This window comes from Homo sapiens, chromosome 22, assembly GCF_000001405.40.
Source record: "Homo sapiens chromosome 22, GRCh38.p14 Primary Assembly".
Taxonomy (NCBI): Eukaryota; Metazoa; Chordata; class Mammalia; order Primates; family Hominidae; genus Homo; species Homo sapiens.
The window spans coordinates 41,927,005-41,945,456 of NC_000022.11; the positions used below are offsets into that span (position 1 = coordinate 41,927,005).

General features: G+C 55.1%; 1 protein-coding gene across 8 annotated transcripts in view, besides 13 other annotated features; it reads right to left on the reverse strand.

Annotated features, from left to right (window-relative positions):
• Positions 192-18,452, reverse strand: part of CENPM (centromere protein M) — a 19,957-nt gene continuing 1,696 nt past the window's right edge. For 2 of the 8 annotated variants that reach the window (NM_024053.5, NM_001304370.2), the window contains 3 exons: positions 18,221-18,300; positions 16,606-16,697; positions 11,733-12,192 (listed from right to left, as the gene is read on the reverse strand). In NM_024053.5, the coding sequence (NP_076958.1) occupies positions 12,052-12,192; positions 16,606-16,697; positions 18,221-18,300 (313 nt within the window). In that variant the 3' untranslated portion in view covers positions 11,733-12,051. Of the gene's footprint in view, positions 979-1,799; positions 1,931-11,732; positions 12,193-13,134; positions 13,216-16,605; positions 16,698-17,916; positions 18,386-18,452 lie in introns of those variants that run through there. The other 6 variants (NM_001002876.3, NM_001304373.2, XM_011530368.3 and 3 more) reach the window with 5 other exon arrangements.
• Positions 1,588-1,657: an enhancer, noted in NCBI's record as "active region_19143". NCBI's record gives its function as "activates an Ori minimal core promoter by ATAC-STARR-seq in GM12878 lymphoblastoid cells {active_cell/tissue: GM12878}" and the evidence as "EXISTENCE:reporter gene assay evidence [ECO:0000049][PMID:35858748]".
• Positions 1,801-2,411: an enhancer, noted in NCBI's record as "H3K4me1 hESC enhancer chr22:42324809-42325419 (GRCh37/hg19 assembly coordinates)". NCBI's record gives its function as "activates a minimal SCP1, AML or CMV promoter by ChIP-STARR-seq in primed H9 embryonic stem cells {active_cell/tissue: H9 hESC(primed)}" and the evidence as "EXISTENCE:reporter gene assay evidence [ECO:0000049][PMID:30033119]".
• Positions 2,412-3,021: an enhancer, noted in NCBI's record as "H3K4me1 hESC enhancer chr22:42325420-42326029 (GRCh37/hg19 assembly coordinates)". NCBI's record gives its function as "activates a minimal SCP1, AML or CMV promoter by ChIP-STARR-seq in primed H9 embryonic stem cells {active_cell/tissue: H9 hESC(primed)}" and the evidence as "EXISTENCE:reporter gene assay evidence [ECO:0000049][PMID:30033119]".
• Positions 5,565-6,072: an enhancer, noted in NCBI's record as "H3K4me1 hESC enhancer chr22:42328573-42329080 (GRCh37/hg19 assembly coordinates)". NCBI's record gives its function as "activates a minimal SCP1, AML or CMV promoter by ChIP-STARR-seq in naive H9 embryonic stem cells {active_cell/tissue: H9 hESC(naive)}" and the evidence as "EXISTENCE:reporter gene assay evidence [ECO:0000049][PMID:30033119]".
• Positions 8,688-8,797: an enhancer, noted in NCBI's record as "active region_19144". NCBI's record gives its function as "activates an Ori minimal core promoter by ATAC-STARR-seq in GM12878 lymphoblastoid cells {active_cell/tissue: GM12878}" and the evidence as "EXISTENCE:reporter gene assay evidence [ECO:0000049][PMID:35858748]".
• Positions 8,814-9,886: an enhancer, noted in NCBI's record as "amplified fragment containing the chr22:42331822-42332894 (GRCh37) CAGE-defined region". NCBI's record gives its function as "transcribed enhancer in B cells {active_cell/tissue: B cell}" and the evidence as "EXISTENCE:reporter gene assay evidence [ECO:0000049][PMID:24670763]".
• Positions 9,118-9,197: an enhancer, noted in NCBI's record as "active region_19145". NCBI's record gives its function as "activates an Ori minimal core promoter by ATAC-STARR-seq in GM12878 lymphoblastoid cells {active_cell/tissue: GM12878}" and the evidence as "EXISTENCE:reporter gene assay evidence [ECO:0000049][PMID:35858748]".
• Positions 9,248-9,507: an enhancer, noted in NCBI's record as "active region_19146". NCBI's record gives its function as "activates an Ori minimal core promoter by ATAC-STARR-seq in GM12878 lymphoblastoid cells {active_cell/tissue: GM12878}" and the evidence as "EXISTENCE:reporter gene assay evidence [ECO:0000049][PMID:35858748]".
• Positions 9,548-9,687: an enhancer, noted in NCBI's record as "active region_19147". NCBI's record gives its function as "activates an Ori minimal core promoter by ATAC-STARR-seq in GM12878 lymphoblastoid cells {active_cell/tissue: GM12878}" and the evidence as "EXISTENCE:reporter gene assay evidence [ECO:0000049][PMID:35858748]".
• Positions 9,728-9,787: an enhancer, noted in NCBI's record as "active region_19148". NCBI's record gives its function as "activates an Ori minimal core promoter by ATAC-STARR-seq in GM12878 lymphoblastoid cells {active_cell/tissue: GM12878}" and the evidence as "EXISTENCE:reporter gene assay evidence [ECO:0000049][PMID:35858748]".
• Positions 12,604-13,571: an enhancer, noted in NCBI's record as "H3K27ac-H3K4me1 hESC enhancer chr22:42335612-42336579 (GRCh37/hg19 assembly coordinates)". NCBI's record gives its function as "activates a minimal SCP1, AML or CMV promoter by ChIP-STARR-seq in naive H9 embryonic stem cells {active_cell/tissue: H9 hESC(naive)}" and the evidence as "EXISTENCE:reporter gene assay evidence [ECO:0000049][PMID:30033119]".
• Positions 13,062-13,421: an enhancer, noted in NCBI's record as "active region_19149". NCBI's record gives its function as "activates an Ori minimal core promoter by ATAC-STARR-seq in GM12878 lymphoblastoid cells {active_cell/tissue: GM12878}" and the evidence as "EXISTENCE:reporter gene assay evidence [ECO:0000049][PMID:35858748]".
• Positions 14,172-14,371: an enhancer, noted in NCBI's record as "active region_19150". NCBI's record gives its function as "activates an Ori minimal core promoter by ATAC-STARR-seq in GM12878 lymphoblastoid cells {active_cell/tissue: GM12878}" and the evidence as "EXISTENCE:reporter gene assay evidence [ECO:0000049][PMID:35858748]".

An 18,452-nucleotide genomic window follows, 5' to 3' on the forward strand; every position in this document is an offset into this window, starting at 1 on the left:
CTCTGCCTCCCGGGTTCAAACAATTCTCTGCCTCAGCCTCCCGAGTAGCTGAGATTGTAGGCGCCCACTGCCACGCCCGGCTAATTTTTGTATTTTTAGTAGAGACGGGGTTTCACCATCTTGGTCAGACTGGTTTTGAACTCCTGACCTCGTGATCCACCTGCCTCGGCCTCCCAAAGTGCTAGGATTACAGGCGTGAGCCACCGCACCCGGCCTGGCCTCTCTTTCTACCTGTGGTTCCCCAATTCAGCCCCTCAACCAGCACCGCCTGGGTGGGCCCTCTGCTGGGTGCTGGGAGGTGTCTGGGGGCAGACCAGAGCCTCCTCTTGGGTAGGGAGGGGGATGGACCCCGCAGCCAGGACACAGACCCTGAGTGGTTCCTCTGCTCCGTCTAGCCAAAGCCTCTCCATGACCCCGAGTGCTCCCCTGCCATCTCCCCCAACCCACCTGTCTCCTCCTCTCTTCCTGCCCTTCCTGGACAGAGCTGGTTGGGGATATCAGACACCTGCTTTTTTTTTTTTTTTTTTTGAAAAAGAGTCTGGCTCTGTGCAGTGGTGCAATCTCGGCTCACTGCAACCTCTGCCTCCCAGATTCAAGCGATTCTCCTGCCTCAGCCTCCCGAGTAACTGGGATTACAGGCATGCACCACCATGCCCGGCTAATTTTTGTATTTTTAGTAGAGGTGGGGTTTCACCATTTGGCCAGGCTGGTCTCGAACTCCTGACCTCAGGTGATCCGCCCTCCTCGGCCTCCCAAAGTGCTGGGATTATAGGTGTGAAGCCACAGTGCCCAGCCTGACATCAGACACTTGTACCAGGCCCAAGTAGCATGTGGGTCTGCCCTGAGGGAATCTCACACTTGTGCTGATGGGGGAAGACAGCCTCGCAGCAAGGGCACCAGCTCACGTCATCCTGGAAGGTGGGCCGGAAGGCTTCATGGAGAGGGCGATGGTGAAGTGTTTGCCAGATGGACTGAGGTCTAGGGAGCAGATGGGGGTGAAGGCCAAAGGGGAGCAAAGGCTTGGAGGCCCAAACAGGAAGTCCAGGGAGTGCTGGGACCGAAAGGCTGGACTGGGGCCTTATCTAGCACATTAGGGAGCTTGGACTGTGGCTGGGGGACACGAGGGAGCCACTGGGGCTTTGTGCAGGGAGGACCCAGGAAGATCTGCCTATGAGTGAGGGAACTGTGACTGCAGTGGAGGGAAGCCCGCCCACACCTGCTCCTTTTCTCCAGGGCTATGTGTCCTCTCCTGCTCACCTCTGTGTCTCACTGCGGGCCCCTCCTGTCTATCTCTGCTCCCCAGTGTTTGGGGTCCCCAACTGTCTGTCACCCGTGTCTCTCTCAGACTGCGTCTCAGAAACACACACAAGCCCCTCCGCCCTCCTGGTCACATGCTACCCCCTCCCCAGGGCCAGGGCTGGAGGGAACTCTGGGAGCTCAGGGCTCAGCAGAGAGCATGGGGTTAAATGCCACACATGCCACCCAGACCCCTAAGCACTCAGGGCTGGGGAAGCACAGTGAGAGGAGAAACTCAGGGGCTGGGGAGGGAGCCTGGGGGCAGAGGGAGACCCTGAGCAGCAGCGAGGGGGAGGCAAACACTCCAGGCGGAGGGCTGCAGGGGCTAAGGCTTGGAGAGATGAAAGGGGAGCCTGAGCTGCTCTGGGGGCAGGCATGGCCACTGCCACAGGGGATGCTGGGAGGGAGGAGGGAGCATCCGGGCTGCGGATGGGCAGGGCACCAGTCCCGGGGCAGTACAGAACCTGGGGGTGTCTGGGTAGGAGGGAGATTCTGAGCTGTACCTGCAAGGGTCCCTCTCTCTGGCACTGTGGCCCACGTCCAGGGCAGGTGGCCCAGGGCAGGGGATGATGCAGCGGCTGGCCATGGAGTGAGGGGAGCAAGGCCGACCCCCAGGTTTCCAGCTTGGGAGACCCTGAAGGTTCACAAAGAACCCCAGTCAGCCAGCCCTGACTGGTGGGCGCTGGCCCACCCTCTCCATCCCCTGTACATGGGCCAGCAGCTCCCAGGCAGGAAGGTGTGGGCGGAGGGGAGCTGCAAAGGAGAAGTGGGGCTGGGGGCAGGTGTGGGTGAGCGTGGGTGTATGGTGATGTGGGGGTGGGGGCAGGTGTGGGTGAGCGTGGGTGTACGGTACAGGGATGGGGGACAGGACCCTGGAGGGGAGCCAGGGCAGGGAAGGCCTCTCTGTGAGGCAGAGAGGTGGGGACAAAGCCAGAAGACTGAGCCATAACCCTGCCACCCACATACACGTCCATCCATGTTGGTGCTGGTATTACCCATTAGTGAGGGCTGCAGAGGCCTGACTGAGTACCAGGCAGCTCATTTAGCCCTTGTGCCAGCCATGTGGGCAGACTGAGGCTTGTGGGAACCCAGGAACGGGGAACCTGTCCCTGGAGAGGGTGGCCCAGTGAGGCCAGAGTCGGGAGAATTTACAGGAGTTAGGAGGAGGGGGTCCGCCTGCCCCAGGTCTGCGTTTCACAGCAGAAGCACTGGCTGCTCTGACCCCCAGCAGAGACTCGAGGAGACTGCTCTCAAGGCCAGAGAGAGTGGGAGGGCTGGAGCCCACTGTCAGAGTTCCAGGGTCCCTTACCTTGGCCAGAGAGGGAGGCCAGCTGCTAAGAGCAGCAGACACAAATGAGACACCCACTCATGTGACACAAATGTTTGCTGGGCGCTCCCTATGTGCTGGGCCAGGTGCCGGGACAAAAGGCCTGCGGGATTCGTGTCTGTGTTGTGTGCAGGTGCCTGGCCTCACATGAACCTTTCCACTTGGGCCTCCTAAATGGGGTGGGGGTGGGGGGCTGCAGCAGGCCCTGTGTCGCTACTTGGATGACAAAACAGTTAAGAAGAATTCACAATCAGACCAATGTGGGGAATGTTAGTTTACTCCTCAATGTATTCTTATTTCCCCGTGGCTTTTTTTTTTTTTTTTTTTTTTTTTTGAGACGGAGTCTCTCTCTGTCGCCCAGGCTGGAGTGCAGTGGCGCAATCTCCGCTCACTGCAAGCTCCGCCTCCCAGGTTCACGCCATTCTCCTGCCTCAGCCTCCCGAGTAGCTGGGACTACAGGCGCCCGCCACCATGCCCGGCAAATTTTTTGTATTTTTAGTAGAGACGGGGTTTCACCGTTAGCCAGGATGGTCTTGATCTCCTCACCTCGAGATCTGCCCGCCTCGCCCTCCCAAAGTGATGGGATTACAGACGTGAGCCACCGCGTCCCTTTTTTTTTTGAGACGGAGTCTGGCTCTGTCACCCAGGCTGGAGTGCAGTGGCGTGATCTCGGCTCACTGCAGCCTCTGCCTCCTGGGTTCAAGCCATTCTCCTGCCTCAGCCTCCCACGTAGCTGGGACTACAGGCACGGGCCACCATGCCTGGCTAAATTTTTTTGTATTTTTAGTAGAAATGGGGTTTCACCATGCTAGCCAGGCTGGTCTTGAACTCCTGACCTCAAGTGATCCACCCACCTTGGCCAACACGCCTGGCCTAATTTCTTTTCTTTTTTTTTGAGATGGAGTTTCACTCTTATCGCCCAGGCTGGAATACAGCAGTGCGATAAGCAACACCCAACTCAGCTCACTGCAACACCCAACTCCCAGGTTCAAGCGATTCTCCTGCCTCAGCCTCCTGAGTACGTGGGATTACAGGCACCTGCCACCAGGCCCGGCTAATTTTTTGTATTTTTAGGAGAGGTGGGGTTTCGCCATGTTGGGGAGGCTAGTCTCAAACTCCTGACCTCAGGTGATCTGCCCACTTTGGCCTCCCAAAGTGCTGGGATTACAGGCATGAGCCACCACTCCTGGCCTAATTTCTTTATTCAAGTCTTTTTTTTTTTTTTTTGAGATGGAGTCTCGCTCTGTTGCCCAGGCTGGAATGCAATGGCACGATCTTGGCTCACTGCAACCTCCACCTCCTGGGTTCAAGCGATTCTCGTGCCTCAGCCACCCCAGTAGCTCGGATAACAGGCACGTGCCACCATGCCCAGCTAACTTTTGCATTTTAGTAGAGACGGGGCTTCACCATGTTGGCCAGGCTGGTCTCGAACTCCTGGTCTCAAGCGACCTGCGCGCCTCGGCCTCCCAAAGTGCTGGGATTACAGGCGTGAGCCACTGCACCCGGCCACCATGCTCTACTTTTAATTCACTGAATACTCTTTTTAAAAAGATAATTTGGGCCTGGTGTGGTGGCTCATGCCTGTAATCCCAACACTTTGGGAGACCGAGGCGGGTGGATCACCAGAAGTCAGGAGTTTGAGACCAGCCTGGCCAACATGGTGAAACCCTCTCTCTATAAGAAATTTAAAAAAAAAAAAAAATTAGCCGGGTGTCGTAGCTGGCGCCTGTAATCCCAGCTACTTGGGAGGCTGAGGCAGGAAGAATTGTTTGAACCCGGAAGCCAGAGGTTACAGTGAGCTGAGGTCGTGCCACTGCACTCCAGCCTGGCTGACAGAGCGAGACCCCATCTCAGAAAAAAAAAAAATAATAATAAAATAACAAGATAGTTTGGGGTCTTCAGAGAGAAGGGGGTTTCTGTCGATTTTTGTGCCCCAATTCTCCTGAAGACACCCTCACAAGGATCTGATGCAGGTACTATTAGGACATTTTCCAGATGAGAAAACAGAGGCTTTAAGGGGCAAGGGCCCTCTCAAGATGAGCCAGCAGATGGGAGGGGCCTGCAGGGGGTCTGTGTCCACCTGACTGTGAAGCGTGGCCTGGGCCCTACATGCTTCAGGGACGGGGTTGGGGAAAGTGAGAGCACTCTGGGGATGGGACAAGCACAGTGTCATGGGGAGCAGTCCTTGGGGACAGAGAGGCCCAGTCCCCCAGATCTGGATGTGAAACTGCTCTGGGGCCTGGGATGCACTCTGTACTTCAAAATCAGTTTTCGTTGTAATTATGCAGTAGTACCTGAACACGTGCTCAGGAAAAACCTGCAAACAATACAGAAGTCTATGAGTGACAAAGGGCGTTTCCCCACGGTCCCCAGAGGGAGTCTCTGTTTTCCCTTGGGAGCCTTTCTTCACTGCCTGGTTCTGTGCCTTTGCCCCCTCGTGTAGGTGTACACACAAACAGCTTTTCCCGTGTTCCAGGAATGGGGTCAGCAGTGGAGATGGCTCTGCTGGCTGGGTTGGGCCTGCAGGGCTTCGAGTCAGCTCTCTTGGCTCCATTTTGTCTCATGACAGCGCCAGGACCACCCCTTGTGGTTATTTCCTTTCCCTTCTCCTGTATTTAAAAGCCCCCACAAACAAGTACAATGCTACAGAGTACCTCTTGCTGGGGCCAGGGGAAAGGATGCAGTGCCGTGGGCCTCGGTTCATTGGGAGAGGGCAGAGTGGCCACGGAATCAGCACAAAGTCCTGGCGAGTCCAGAGCAGTGTGACCCAGAGGCAGAGGCCTGGGAGTCCCCAGATCCCGTTCCTCCCCGAACCCACACCAGGGGAGGGCAGGTCACGCCCTTCCATGAAGCAGTCACAAATCCTTGCCTGGGTCTTCATGGGCTGGAGCTGCCTGTCATCCAGCCCGCCACTCCATGCACACGTGCGCACACACGCGCGCTCCTGCACTCCACAGGGTCTGGCCAGGGCACCCCAGCCACTCTCAGCATGGCCCCGGGATAGAGGACATGGGCCCTCCATGTGAGACTAGAGGGCAGACCACAGCCCTTTAGCCACAGGGAGCAAAGCCCCCACCTCTTGGGGGCCAGGTGTGTGAAGTAGAGGGAGGCTGTAAGGCCAGGGTAGGCAAGGGGGAGAGGAACGGGGGCCCCCAGGGCCAACCTCCCAGGCCTTATTCAGGGTACCACGCAGGAAGGCCCTTGTGAACGCAGAGGCCGACCCCTGCGCGGATGCCTCCCCGTCACTCGCCACTCACTCACTTAGCACCTACCAGGCACCAGGAGCTGTTTTGGGTTCTGGGGAAATAGCAGGGAAGCAGAGAGGAAACCCAAATGGGACACAACGTAGTGGGTGGGGAGGTAAGGAGTGCTGGGGAGAAAAAGTCAGAAGGGCAGGGTGCTCGAGGGTTATGGGTGCAATTTCAAACAGGGGAGTCAGAGAAGGCCTGGTGGATGGTGACCTCGGAACAGAGGACAGGGTGGAGCGATCCCCAAGGATGTCTGGGGGAAGCAGAGAAGGCCCAGTGACCAGGAAAAGGGCTGTGCGCAAAGCATCTCCCTACCCGGCCGTCTCCTCCCTCAGCCCTGTGTGGGGCTAGCACGACTGGTCCCACTTTACAAAGAGGGAAAGCAGGCTAGAGTAAAGGGGCCCGCCAGGCAGCCCCTGAGCCTGCCACACTACACACATCAGTGGGGTCCTCTTCCCGTGTGCGGACAGCGGCAGGGAGAGGGGGTGGGGGTGGGGGTGAGGCCCAGGGGTCTGTGTCCTCACAGGGAGGCTGGCCAAGCATATTGGAGGAGGAGGGCTGGGGGACCCCTTGGGCCTGGCCAGCTCGCAGGGGCCCCAAGTTCGGCTGGCATACCCTTTGATGGAAGAGGGCGGTCCAGGGAAGGCTGCCTCCTGTGCAGGTCCGGGGCTCTGGGAAGTACCTACCCACTCTCCCCAGGGAGCTGCCCTCAGCAGCCCCCAGTCCACAGCATCCCATACTCAGGTGGGACCCGCAGACTTAGGGTACACAGCCTGGCAGCCCACCCCACTGTCTCCCTCAGCCCCCAAGTGTGAGACATTCTTTCACAGAGACTCTCTGCCTGTGTCCTTCTGACCCCAGGGTACACTGGAGGGGAGGGGCTAAGCCAACAGAACCTTCCAGAAAACGTCCCTTTGTGCTCGAGCCCTGCCAGCAGGCCTGGCCCAGCACCCCTGATGCGTGTGGGTTGGGGGCAACTGTAACAGGGCCTTGTCTCAAGAACCCCACGGCTCTCCTCGCCCACCAGCCTGCCAGCCCGTACCGAGCCACTGTCTGTAGAGGGTGGAAGGGCTGGCATGGAGTCAGGCTCTTCAGTTTCTCTCCAAGCCTCACAAGACCTGAAAAGGGGGGCAGGCAGTGGGGCTTGGAGAGGGAAGTGGGCTGCCCCAAGTCACACTGCAGATCAGCCACAGACCCCAAGTCGGTGGGACTCGGAGGCTGCTCCTGTTCCCACTGCACCACTTCCCCTCTGCAGCTGGGCTGCTCCTGCCTCTGCTCACCGGGGGTGCAGGAGACACGGGGCCCAGGCTGCAGAGCCCCTCCTTGCTAGGAAGGTCCTGCCTCCTTGGTAGGGATGGGAAACACCATCAGATTGAGGCCAGGACACTCGGGCCTGGACCACTGGCCATGGAGAACGTGAACTCCCTGGGGTCCCAAGGACTGCTCACAGCCAGGTGGAATGAGGGGGACAAATGAGTGTGTGACTCCGAGTAAGCTCTACTCCTCTAAGAGTGGGGCCCAAACACCACCTTCCTTCCAGCTTATAAGAGCACGGACGGGGCAGCTTCCAGGCCCAGCTGAAGAGGCGCCGCTTCCAGTAGCCTTCGCCCCCCCATTCCCAGCCTGTAGGCCTAGGGGGTTCTTGCCCGCCTTCAACATCCTGCAATGACCACGTCATGACCATGGCCACCCTGAGGCATCTGACATTTGTTTAAAGCTTTATGTTCAAAATAATGGGCTTGAGGCCAGCAATTTGAGACCAGCCTGGGCAGCATAGCAAGACCCCATCTCTAAATAAATACATAAAATAGTGGCTTCTTCATTGCCAGTCCTCAACTAGCTAGGAAGAAAGGCATCGGTTAGCCTGGCGCCACGCTACAGCTGAGGAACTGAGGCTTGCCGAGGGTGAGTGACCTGCCTGAGGTCACGCCACCAAGCAAGCAGCCAAGCCCAGCCTCTCCCATCTCCCTCCACCTTACCTCAGTACCAAGCCCCAATTCCGGCACACACTGATCTTCCATTACTTCCCTCAGCCAAACTGTCTCCTGGACAATGTCACTGGGTCTCCAGATGGCGTGAAGCAACCCCACTCTCTGGCCACCCATCCCCCGCCTTCCAGGGACAGCAGGTCTGAGGGCACCTGCCTGCCATTTAAGTGTGGCTCAGCTCTGCTGTGAGGCAGGGGCAGGCCAGCCCCCAACTCTAGAGGGGAGGCCTCCTGGTTCCAGGGCCCCTGCCAAGCTCAGCTGGGAGCTGGCGGCAGTGACAGCACTGTGTTCCCCAGTGCTTGGAAGGTTCCCAGACTCTTGGCTGGAGAATGCGATGCCACTTCTCTTGTTAAATGGTACCAGGTGGCAAGGAAAATGTGGCACAGGGACCTGAGAGAGGTGCCCCATGCGGGCATGGGGGGGAGGGGGTGTGGGGGAAGGCCTCTCCTCCTGGTCGCCAGCAAAAAGTGACATCCCAGATCAGGCAGGCTGCATCCACACCGCCTTCCTCCCCTGCTTGGACACCCATTCCATCAGCCCCGCCAAAGACCTACTCTACCCTCCAGTTACCCTGCAAAGACACGCATTCTGGCCAAGGACAGAAGGGCCAAAGACAAGGTCACTCTCTGGGAAGGCTGGCCTTCCGGGCTCTGCTGCTACTGCCCATCCCTTCAGGGACCAAAGTGAAGGTTCACCTCCAGCCTCTTCCTTCTGCCCTGGAGCCTCCCCTCCTCAAGCAGAGGCTGGCTTCCCCGACCAAGTGCCCGAGGGGCTTTTTGCTGCGGGCGAAGGCCTGCTCAGGCCCAGAGCCTGCACCACTCTGCTCCCACGCTAAGGGCCTCTGCCCTCGGGCCTATCCTGCCACCCCCTGCCCTCTCGCGATGCTGTGTTCTAGTGGTCCCATCCTGAGGCAGGAACCATGGCTTGCAGACTGCTGCTTTCTGGAGCACACGGGCTGTCTCCACCTTCTGTATTCCAGCTCAGGGCCTGGCCAGTGGAGATGCCCAAATCTTTTTTTTTTTTTTTTGAGATGGAGTCTCTCTGTCACCCAGGCTGGAGTGCAGTGGTGCAATCTCAGCTCACTGCAACCTCTGCCTCCTGGTTTCAAGTGATTCTCCTGCCTCAGCCTCCCAAGTAGCTGGGATTACAGGCGCATGGCACCATGCTCGGCTAATTTTGTATTTTTAGTAAAGGCGGGGTTTCACCGTGTTACTCAGGCTGGTCTCGAACTCCTGACCTCAAGTGATCTGCCCACCGTGGCCTCCCAAAGTGTTGGGATTACAGGCGTGAGCCACTGCGCCTGGCCTCCAAACCTTTCTTCAAGGATTAGGCAGGCACACAGAAAAACTGGAGAGAAGCAGAGTGGGGCTGGCTCTGCTGCCAGTTAGCTGTGTGACTGTGACACACCTCCCATGACAACGGTCTGTTTCATGAACTGTGAATTGGGGAAACATCATCTACCTCACAGGTCTGCTGTGTGAGAAGAGCTCTGTGAAGCATGACGTGCCTGCAAATGTCGGGTGACATGTGGGGCCTCGACCGGAATCTACGTGGCTGAAGTCCTCAGCGGAGCCCAAGGGACTGCCAGGAAGTCAGCCAGGTGTCTACAAACCCTTACTGAGCACTAGGGGTGGGGCCTGAGCTAAGTTCCAGAAGGAACCTACAGAAAGGGGCAGATAGGGCCGCATCCCCGACACCTACAAGGAGTTAGAAGGCGGCCCACCCCTCAGTGAAGGGCATGGGCCCAGCTGCGATGGTGACATCAAAGCAGAGAGGCCTTAGGCCGGCCGCGGTGACTCTCACACCTGTAATCCCAGCACTTTGGGAGGCCAAGGGTGGCAGATCACGTGAGGTCAGGAGTTTGAGACCAGCCTGGCCAACATGGCGAAACCTGTGTCTACTAAAAATACAAAAATTAGCTGGGCATGGTGGCGTGCACCTGTAATCTCAGCTGCTCGGGAGGCTGAGGCAGGAGAATCACTTGAACCAGGGAGCAGAGGCTGCAGTGAGTTGAGATCACGCCACTGCACTCCAGCCTGGGCGACAGAGCAAGACTCCACACCCCACCAACCAAAAAAAAAGAAAAAAGCAGACAGGCCCCGAGGTGCTGGTGCAGTGCTGCCCAGGGCTTCAACTGGGGTCCATCCTGAGGCCTGAGGCTGGTGGGCATGCCCTGGCACATGCAGGGTGAATGTGGGGAGGGCACTGTCATGTTCCAAGGGAGTCAGGACCTGGCTCTCTATGGGATTTCTAGAGTCCACTTCTGATGCCTCTACAATCTCCAATTAGACCCAAGGGAGAAGGAAAGCAACTGGCACTGTACAATCTCTCGCCATCAACCCCAAAATGAGACCTCCAGCCAGCTTTTCTCACTTCTTGCAAACTTCTGACAGTGGTGTAATTCCTAATTTGCACCAGTTTTTGAACTCCGCTGTGTGATTTCTTTTTTGGAGATAGAGTCTCGCTCCGCTGCCTGGGCTGAAGTGCAGTGGTACGATCTCAGCTCACTGCAACCTCCGCCTCCTGGGTTCAAGCAATTTTCCTGCCTCAGCCTCCCAAGTAGCTGGGACTATAGGCACAGACTGCCATGCCCGGCTAATTTTCTGTATTTTAGTGGAGACGGGGTTTCACCGTGTTGCCAGGCCAGCCACAAACTCCTGAGCTCAGGCAATCCGCCCGCCTCGGCTTTCCATGTGATTTCAAATAGTTACTGTTCACTGAGTGCCTACCTAGCAAGGTGCAAGGCATTAACACATGTTATGAACACAGCAACCTACTCGCAGGCATGGGGGGTCACACAGTCCCAGGCATGTCCATCGTCTCATTCAATCCTCCCAACGTGACAAGGTGAGCAGAACCTCATCTCCATTCACATCTGAGAAAACAAGCTCCAAGAGGCAACAACCAGGTTCTATAATAGCAGGGCCAGGATGTGGAGTCTGACTGGCATAACGAGTCCAAGCTCCCCTTACCCCGCCCCACTCCTTTTTTTTTCTTTGAGACAGAGTCTCGCTCTGTCGCCCAGGCTGGAGTGCAGTGGCGCGATCTCAGCTTACTGCAAGCTCCGCCTCCCAGGTTCATGCCGGTCTTCTGCCTCAGCCTCCCAAGTAGCTAGGACTACAGATGCCCGCCACCATGCCTGGCTAATTTGTTTGTATTTTTAGTAGAGGCAGAGTTTCACTGTTAGCCAGGATGGTCTCGATCTCCTGACCTTGTGATCTGCCCGCCTCGGCCTCCCAAAGTGCTGGAATTATAGGTGGGAACCACCGCGCCCAGCATTTTTTTTTTTTTTTTTTGAGACGGAGTCTCGCTCTGTTGCCCAGGCTGGAGTGCAGTGGTGTAATCTCGGTTCAACACCACCTCCGCCTCCCAGGTTCAAGTGATTCTCCTGCTTCAGCCTCCCGAGTAGTTGAGACTACAGGCCTGCATCACCATGCCTGGCTAATTTTTGTATTTTTAGTAGAGACAGGGTTTCACTATGTTGGCCAGGCTGGTCTCGCTTTTTTTTTTTTTTTTTTTTGAGGTGGAGTCTCACTGTGTTGCCCAGGCTGGAGTGCAGTGGCACAGTCTCAGCTCACTGCAACCTCCGCCTCCCGGGTTCAAGTGATTCTCCTGCCTCAGCCTCCTGAGTAGCTGGGACTACAGGCGCCCACCACCACATCTGGCTAATTTTTGTATTTTTGTAGAGACAGGGATACACCATGTTGGCCAGGATGGTCTCGAATTCCTGACTTCAAGTGATCCACCCACCTCGGCCTCCCAAAGTGCTGGGATTACAGGCGTGAGCCTCTGCACCTGGCCCACCCTGCCCTACTCTTAATTGTTCTGAGTCAGTTTCCTCATCTACAAAGTCAAAGTGGTGAATGAGACCAGTGATTTTTAAACTTTTTTTAGCCACAGACCTTTTGTTCAAAGGAAACCTTAAATGGAGATGTAACACGCCAGCTGCTTAAAGACACAGGCTCTGCAAGAGTGAGTGTGGGAGTGGGAGGGGGCTACAGTCTCGCCAGCTGGGCCCCCTCGCTGCTTCTGCCCAGCTCTCCCTGCTGCAGCACTGGCACTGCAGGGAACCTTCCCAGCCACGGCGGGCTGAGCCTGGGCCTGTCAAGCCCTGACTGGACATCCTCAACAGAGAATGTTTATGGAGTCAGCACGAAGCCATGAGAAGGGGCAGCCCAGGGGCCAGCCACCCTCACAGGTCCTCCAGGGAGGGGCCCTCAGAGCTTCTCAGCAGGGACAGCAGGTTCAGAGCTGAGACACCGGGCACGTGGCCAGCACAGATCTGCAGCACGCGCACCAGGCGCTGCGCCATGGTGGCCCTAAAGCCTTCCACCTGCGGGGAGAGCAGAGAACAGCAGTGAGATAGAATGCTGGCCCTGCTCCCTTACCCAGAGCAGCTGCAGGGGCTGCCAGAGCAGGGCTGGGGGCGGATACTTGGGGGTAGCTCAGGTCACCACTGCCCACCACAGCCACGCCCTCATTCATGCCACACCTCAGAGTAGCTTCCAACTGCCTCAGCTTGCCCAATCCTTCAAACAACCTCCGGAGACATCCAGAGCCTGACCTCCTGCTCAAGAGGAAATGAAGGCTTAACAAGGCTGGCTAGGTCGAACAAACTGTCTAGGGTCACCCAGCTAGTGACTCCAGAGCTGAGCTCTGAATCAGGGCTACTTCCAACCAATGCCCAGGCAGCTCGGGCCCCAGATGCTCAAGACCAGGGAGCAGAAGATACAGGGATAGGAAGGAGGGAGGGGCAGCGGGTGGCCCTCACCACAGATAAGAAGGTGCCATCAAAAAGGAATGGGCCCAGGGGAGCTGTGGGGCCAGAGAGGGACAAGACTGCTCTAGGCCCGGGCACAGATGTTCTAGACACGTCCGCTGGAAGAACACGATGCTGCCCAGTGTCTGTCTCAAAAAAGAAAGAAAAAGAAAGAAAAAGAAAGAAAAAGAAAGAAAAAGAAAGAAAGAAAGAAAGAAAAAGAAAGAAAGAAAGAAAGAAAGAAAGAAAGAAAGAAAAAGAAAGAAAGAAAGAAAGAAAGAAAGAGCCTCCAGACCTGTCTCTCTATTTCTGCCCTAGTTTCCCTTCAGTCCACTCTCCTCCCGGCAGCCAGAGGGGTCCATTTAAAACCCAAGTCAGGCCACATCCCTCCCTGGCCCCAAGCCCTCCAGCAGCTCCCCACCAGGCTCCACTGATCCAGCCCCACCATTCCTGATTTCTCCACCCCAACCCGCCCTTTGCTATTGTGCTGCAGCCACCCAGGCCTGCCTGCCAGACCTTGAGCACACCAGGCAAGTCCCACACTCGGCCCATGCACTTGCTGTTCCTCCTTCCACGAGGTATCTCCGTGGCCTGCCTGCCTACTTCCTTCAGGTCTTTATTTATTTAGAAGTCCTGTTTGCAGGGGCGTTCCCTGGTTACCCTGCCTAACTCTTGCCTGTTTACCACCACCTGACACGCCACGCCTCCACTTTCCAGCACGTCATTTACCCCATTTGTTTCCTTGACTAGAACAAAGCTGGGGCTTTTTTTGTTTTGTTTTGAGACAGAGTCTCGCTTTGTCACCCAGGCTGGAGTGCAGTGGCACCATCTTGGCTCACTGCAATCTCTGCCTCCCAGGTTCAAGCGATTCTTGTGCTTCAGCCCCCTGAGTAGCTGGGATTACAGGTGTGTGCCACCATGCCCAGCTAATTTCTGTATTTTTAGTAAAGACTGGGTTTCACCATGTTGGCCAGGCTGGTCTCAAACTCCTGACCTCAGGTGATCCTTCCACCTCGGCCTCCCTAGGATTACAGGTGTGAGCTACCGTGCCCAGCAGGAAGCTGGGGTTTTTGACTCTTTTGTTCTGTGCTGTGTCCCTGGAGCCTAGAACAGTGGTCGGTACCACAGAAACTCAGGAAGTATTTTTTTAATAAGTCCTCTAAGTTTGGTGGCCTTTGTTCCTGAAATCTATCTCTAGGCTGCTGAGGCTTGGGTTCCACAACCTGCCTCCTGCAGCAGCCTCGACCCAGCCTCCTGCCTCTGGCCAGGCTTCCTCCAATCCACATCACTCCAGAGACGTGACCCAAATGCCCAGGTCTGACCACAATCATGACTTTGCTCATGACATCCAAGAAGAAATGACCTAATTCTACCACCAGGCTCCCAGAGCTCAGCAAATCCTTCTGCTGTTGCTTATGTTACATGTCTGCTTATTTCATGAGATTCTGAGAGGGCAGGGCCAATATCTGACTCATTTGTGTTCCCAGGGCCCAGCACAGAGCCCTACCAGCAGACCTAGGCAATTATTTCACTGGGCCAATCACATACCTTCCTGTGTTTCCTCATCAATGGAACGGGGCCGGTAATTCCTGCCACGCAAAGGCCTCAAGATATATGGTGGGGCTTAAACTCAATTATGCAGAAGAGTGTTCTGAAGAGGACAACACCAGCATGAAGAAGGAGGCCAGTTCAAACCCTGGGTGCTCCATCTGAGGGATGCAGGCCTATGTCCTGAGCAGGCATTTCTGCAGCTCCTGCTGCGGCGGGAACCAGGCTGGGACCTCCTGCTTCCTGCCCAGGCCAAGAGAGAACCCAGGACCTGGCCTGGCCTGCCACCTCATGGCCACAGACAGAATTACACCACTTGTCACAGGGTGAGTAGGCACCACTGTCCCCCACCAGCACCTGAACTATGGAGCAAAGATCGTGACTCCCCTTTAGAGATGCTTCGTGGCAGACAAAGTGACCTATTCAAAGTCACACGGTCAGCAGGCTAGGACAGCAGAACAGCTGGCTCTACCCCTCACTCACGAGCTGTCTGACCCTGAGCAAGTCGCCTGTTCTCTCTGGGAGGAAAGCCTGGCGGGGCAGGCACTTCAGGTGTGCCCAGGCCTCAGGGTCCCATCTGTGAGATCAGAGTGCTGATCTGGTCAGGGGCTCAAAAAGTAGTCATCAACTAGGAAATCAAATGCGTGATAGAGTCAAGTGTGTATCATGATCGATGCATCGAGCAAGGGGCAGGCCTAATGGCTGCTGCCACATGAGACAGTGATGAGACCTGCCCAATCCTAATGTGATATGAAAACATCCCCATTTCTACTGGCGACAGCCACAGACTGCTATCCTCTGAATTCTGCCCTTAGACCAGAGGAGTGCCCTGACACCAGGATAAGGGACCCTGGTCTAGACAGTGGTGATGGATTGGTGGTCACAGATCATGTGCTGACTCGGTTCTCCCTGCATTTCATCACTTTGCTTTCGGTAACAGGCACAAGACCCAGAACAGAGCAGAAACACAACTCTTCGAAATGTATCTCAAAACCAATAAACAGGTTTCCAAAGGAATGGAGCAGGCCTGGCACATGGGTGTGGCAGTGCGGGCCCTGGGACCCCTCAGTAGACCCATCGCGGGGAGCACATCAACTCCTGCTGAGGCCTCTTTAGCAAAAAGTCATCAGGATTTATCCTGCATAAAAAGCGGCTAAAGGCCAGGCTCCGTGGCTCGCTCCTGTAATCCCAGCACTTTGGGAGGCTAAAGTGGGAGGATCGCTTGAGGCCAGGAGTTCAAAACCAGTGTGGGGAACACAGCAAGACCTCATCGCTATATTAAAAAGTAAATAAACAGTGGCCGGGTGCAGTGGCTCATGCCTGTAATCCCAGCACTTTGGGAAGCCGAGGCGGGCGGATCACGAGGTCAGGAGATTGAGACCATCCTGGCTAACACGGTGAAACCCCGTCTCTACTAAAAAATACAAAAAATTAGCTGGGCGTGGTGGTGGGTGCCGGTAGTCCCAGCTACTTGGGAGGCTGAGGCAGGAGAATGGCGTGAACTCGGGAGGCAGAGCTTGCAGTGAGCCGAGATCGCGCCACTGCATTCCAGCCTGGACAACAGAGCAAGACTCCATCTCAAAAAAAAAAAAAAAGTAAATAAATAAATAAATACTTAGCTAGGTGCGGTGGTGCATGCTTGTAGTCCTAGTTACTCAGTAGGCTGAGGTGGGAGGTTCACTTGAGCCCAGGAGCTCAAGTCTGCAGTGAGCCATGAGTACACCACTGCAATCCAGCCTGGGCAACAGAGCAAGACCTTATCTAAAACAATAACGACAACAACAACAACAACAAAAAGGCTACTTTCCTACCCCTCGTGGTTAGTTTCACCTTGTGAGAAACACCAACAGGATCCAGTTGGGGCAGAATTCCCTACATATGCATCCAACCATCTACCCACCTACCCAACAAACATCCCTATTGCCTGCTGGGTACCCTAGCTTGGGGTGGGACGAGACAAGATCTGAAATCAGAGAGTTAAGGGGAAATCAGGCATTCTGACTCCCAGAGGACACAAGGATGCACCAGTTAAAGAGACGGACATACGCTTGGCCTCACAATCACTTACACCCCAGCAGGAGAGTGGACTCACAAATACATACACATAAGACTTAGTTATAACTGAGTATGCAGAAACTCAGCAAAAGCAAAAGCAGGGCAGCACGTGCTAGAGCCTGGCATATAAGATGCACTCCAGATGAAAGCACATCATCCTCACTTCACACCTGTGTACCCCAAGGCTCAGGGTGACCTGCCCAGGTCATAGCCAGTGAGTAGAAAAGCCACTCAAACCAGGATCCTGTGTCTCCCTCCCCTTCAGGAGCTGCCTCGCTCGGATACTAAGTCCTTCGATAAGCATTCCCAATGTGCCCACTGTGTGCTGACCACCCTTTCCCCGCACCCGAGTATAGTGTTGGTCTCTGTGATCAGCATGCTCACCTCCAGGTCACAGTAGAGCAGGGGGCTTTGATAGGTGTGGGCCAGCTTCACCACGGTGTGCCGGTGAATGCTGCAGTGGCTCTCCCGCCCAGCTGGAAAGAAGCCATGAGTGCTATAGCTGCAATCTCTACCTTCCTGGCTGGAATTCAGGAAGTGCTGGGCAGAGTCACTCACTTCCCCACTCTGGGGCTCAGTTTCTTTCTAGTCGCGAGGGTGACAGTCCTATTCTACTTTCTTTTCTAGGTAGTCAAGAATATCAAATTAGACAATGAAGATAATAATAGCTCCTACCCCACTGAGTCACTCTAGAGTCAGTGAGTTGACATCTAGAAATTACTTGGCCTGCATTTGCTCACCAATGCTTCTTGAGAATTATCTGTGCCAGGCACTCTGCTCAAGGAGCTAACAGTTCAGCTGGGAAGGCAGACAGGTCAGACACCTCATGCATGCCGGAGTGACACTGGGGCTGAGTTTTGAGGTATTTGTAGGGGTTAGCAAGACAAAGAAGAGGAAATGTATTTGACAGAAGCCTAGAGTAAACAAAAAGAGGACGGCCGGGTGCGGTGGCTCAGGCCTGTAATCCCAGCACTATCTGAGGCAGGCGGATACCTGAGGTCAGGAGTTCAAGACCAGCCTGGCCAACATGGTGAAACCCCATCTCTACTAAAATACAAAAATTAGCTGGGCATGATGGCGGGTGCCTGTAATCCCAGCTACTCGGGAGGCTGAGATGGGAGAATTGCTTGAACCAGGGAGACGGTGGTTGCGGTGAGCTGAGATCACGCCATAGCACTCCAGCCTGGGCGGCTGAGCGAGACTCCGTCTCAAAAAAAAAAAAAAAAAAAAGGGACGGGCCCTGTAACAGGACTTACCTAGGTGTAAACCTTGGCTCTACCACTTTTCATCTAGGGGCCTGGGGCAACTTAACCTCATGACTGTAAAACAGAGGTAATAACACCTACCTCCAATAGGAATATGAAAACAAAGCAATTACCGTGTCTGCCTCACAGTGACAGCTCAAAAGATGTCAGCCATTATTATTTTCACTGTTAATATTACAAAGTCTCAGGAACAGCAGGACTTTTTCAGAGAACGATAAGCTGACCCAGAGAAGGAGAGTCACCGGAGATGAGACTAGCTCAGAAGGCAGAGGCCAAACTGCAAAGTGTTTTATGTCTTTAGAGTTTGGATTTTACCGAAAGCCACAGGCAACCACTAGGCAACTCCAAGTAATGGCAGAGTTATCTGCTCATATTCACTCTTAGAAAGGCTGACAACAGGTCAGATTCCAAAGTATGTGTATATGTGTTCTTTCGGTTTTTAAATTTAACTTTTATTTTAAGTTCAGGGGTACATGTGCAGATTTGTTATGTAGTTAAAACTTGTGTCATGGGGTTTGTTGTACAGATCATTGTCACCCAGGTATTAAGCCTAGTACCCATTAGTTATTTTTCCAGATCTTCTCCTTCTTCCTGCCCTCCACCCTCCGATAGGCCCCAGTGTGTGTAAAATACATGCTCTTTCCATCACCCAGGGTGCCTCAGCAAGAAGCCTACGGCCGCCCCAGCTTTCCCTTGGCTGGGGGTGGGCAGTAACAGGCGAGGAACGTACTTACCACCTGTGGCGAGGAAACACACCTTCCCCAAGAAGAAGCTGGCATCCACATGGCGCAGGGACTCCTCTGTGTTCTGGAGACTGGGGTGGCCAGGCCAGGGTGAGAAAACAAACCAGAGAACAAAACTTTACAACGGAGAAAGCAGAAGTCCTTGCTTCTCTGATCCTAGAGGCCAGAGAATGACAAGAGGGTGACTTTCTCTGGAGAAATATTTGTCCTTTAATTTTTTTTT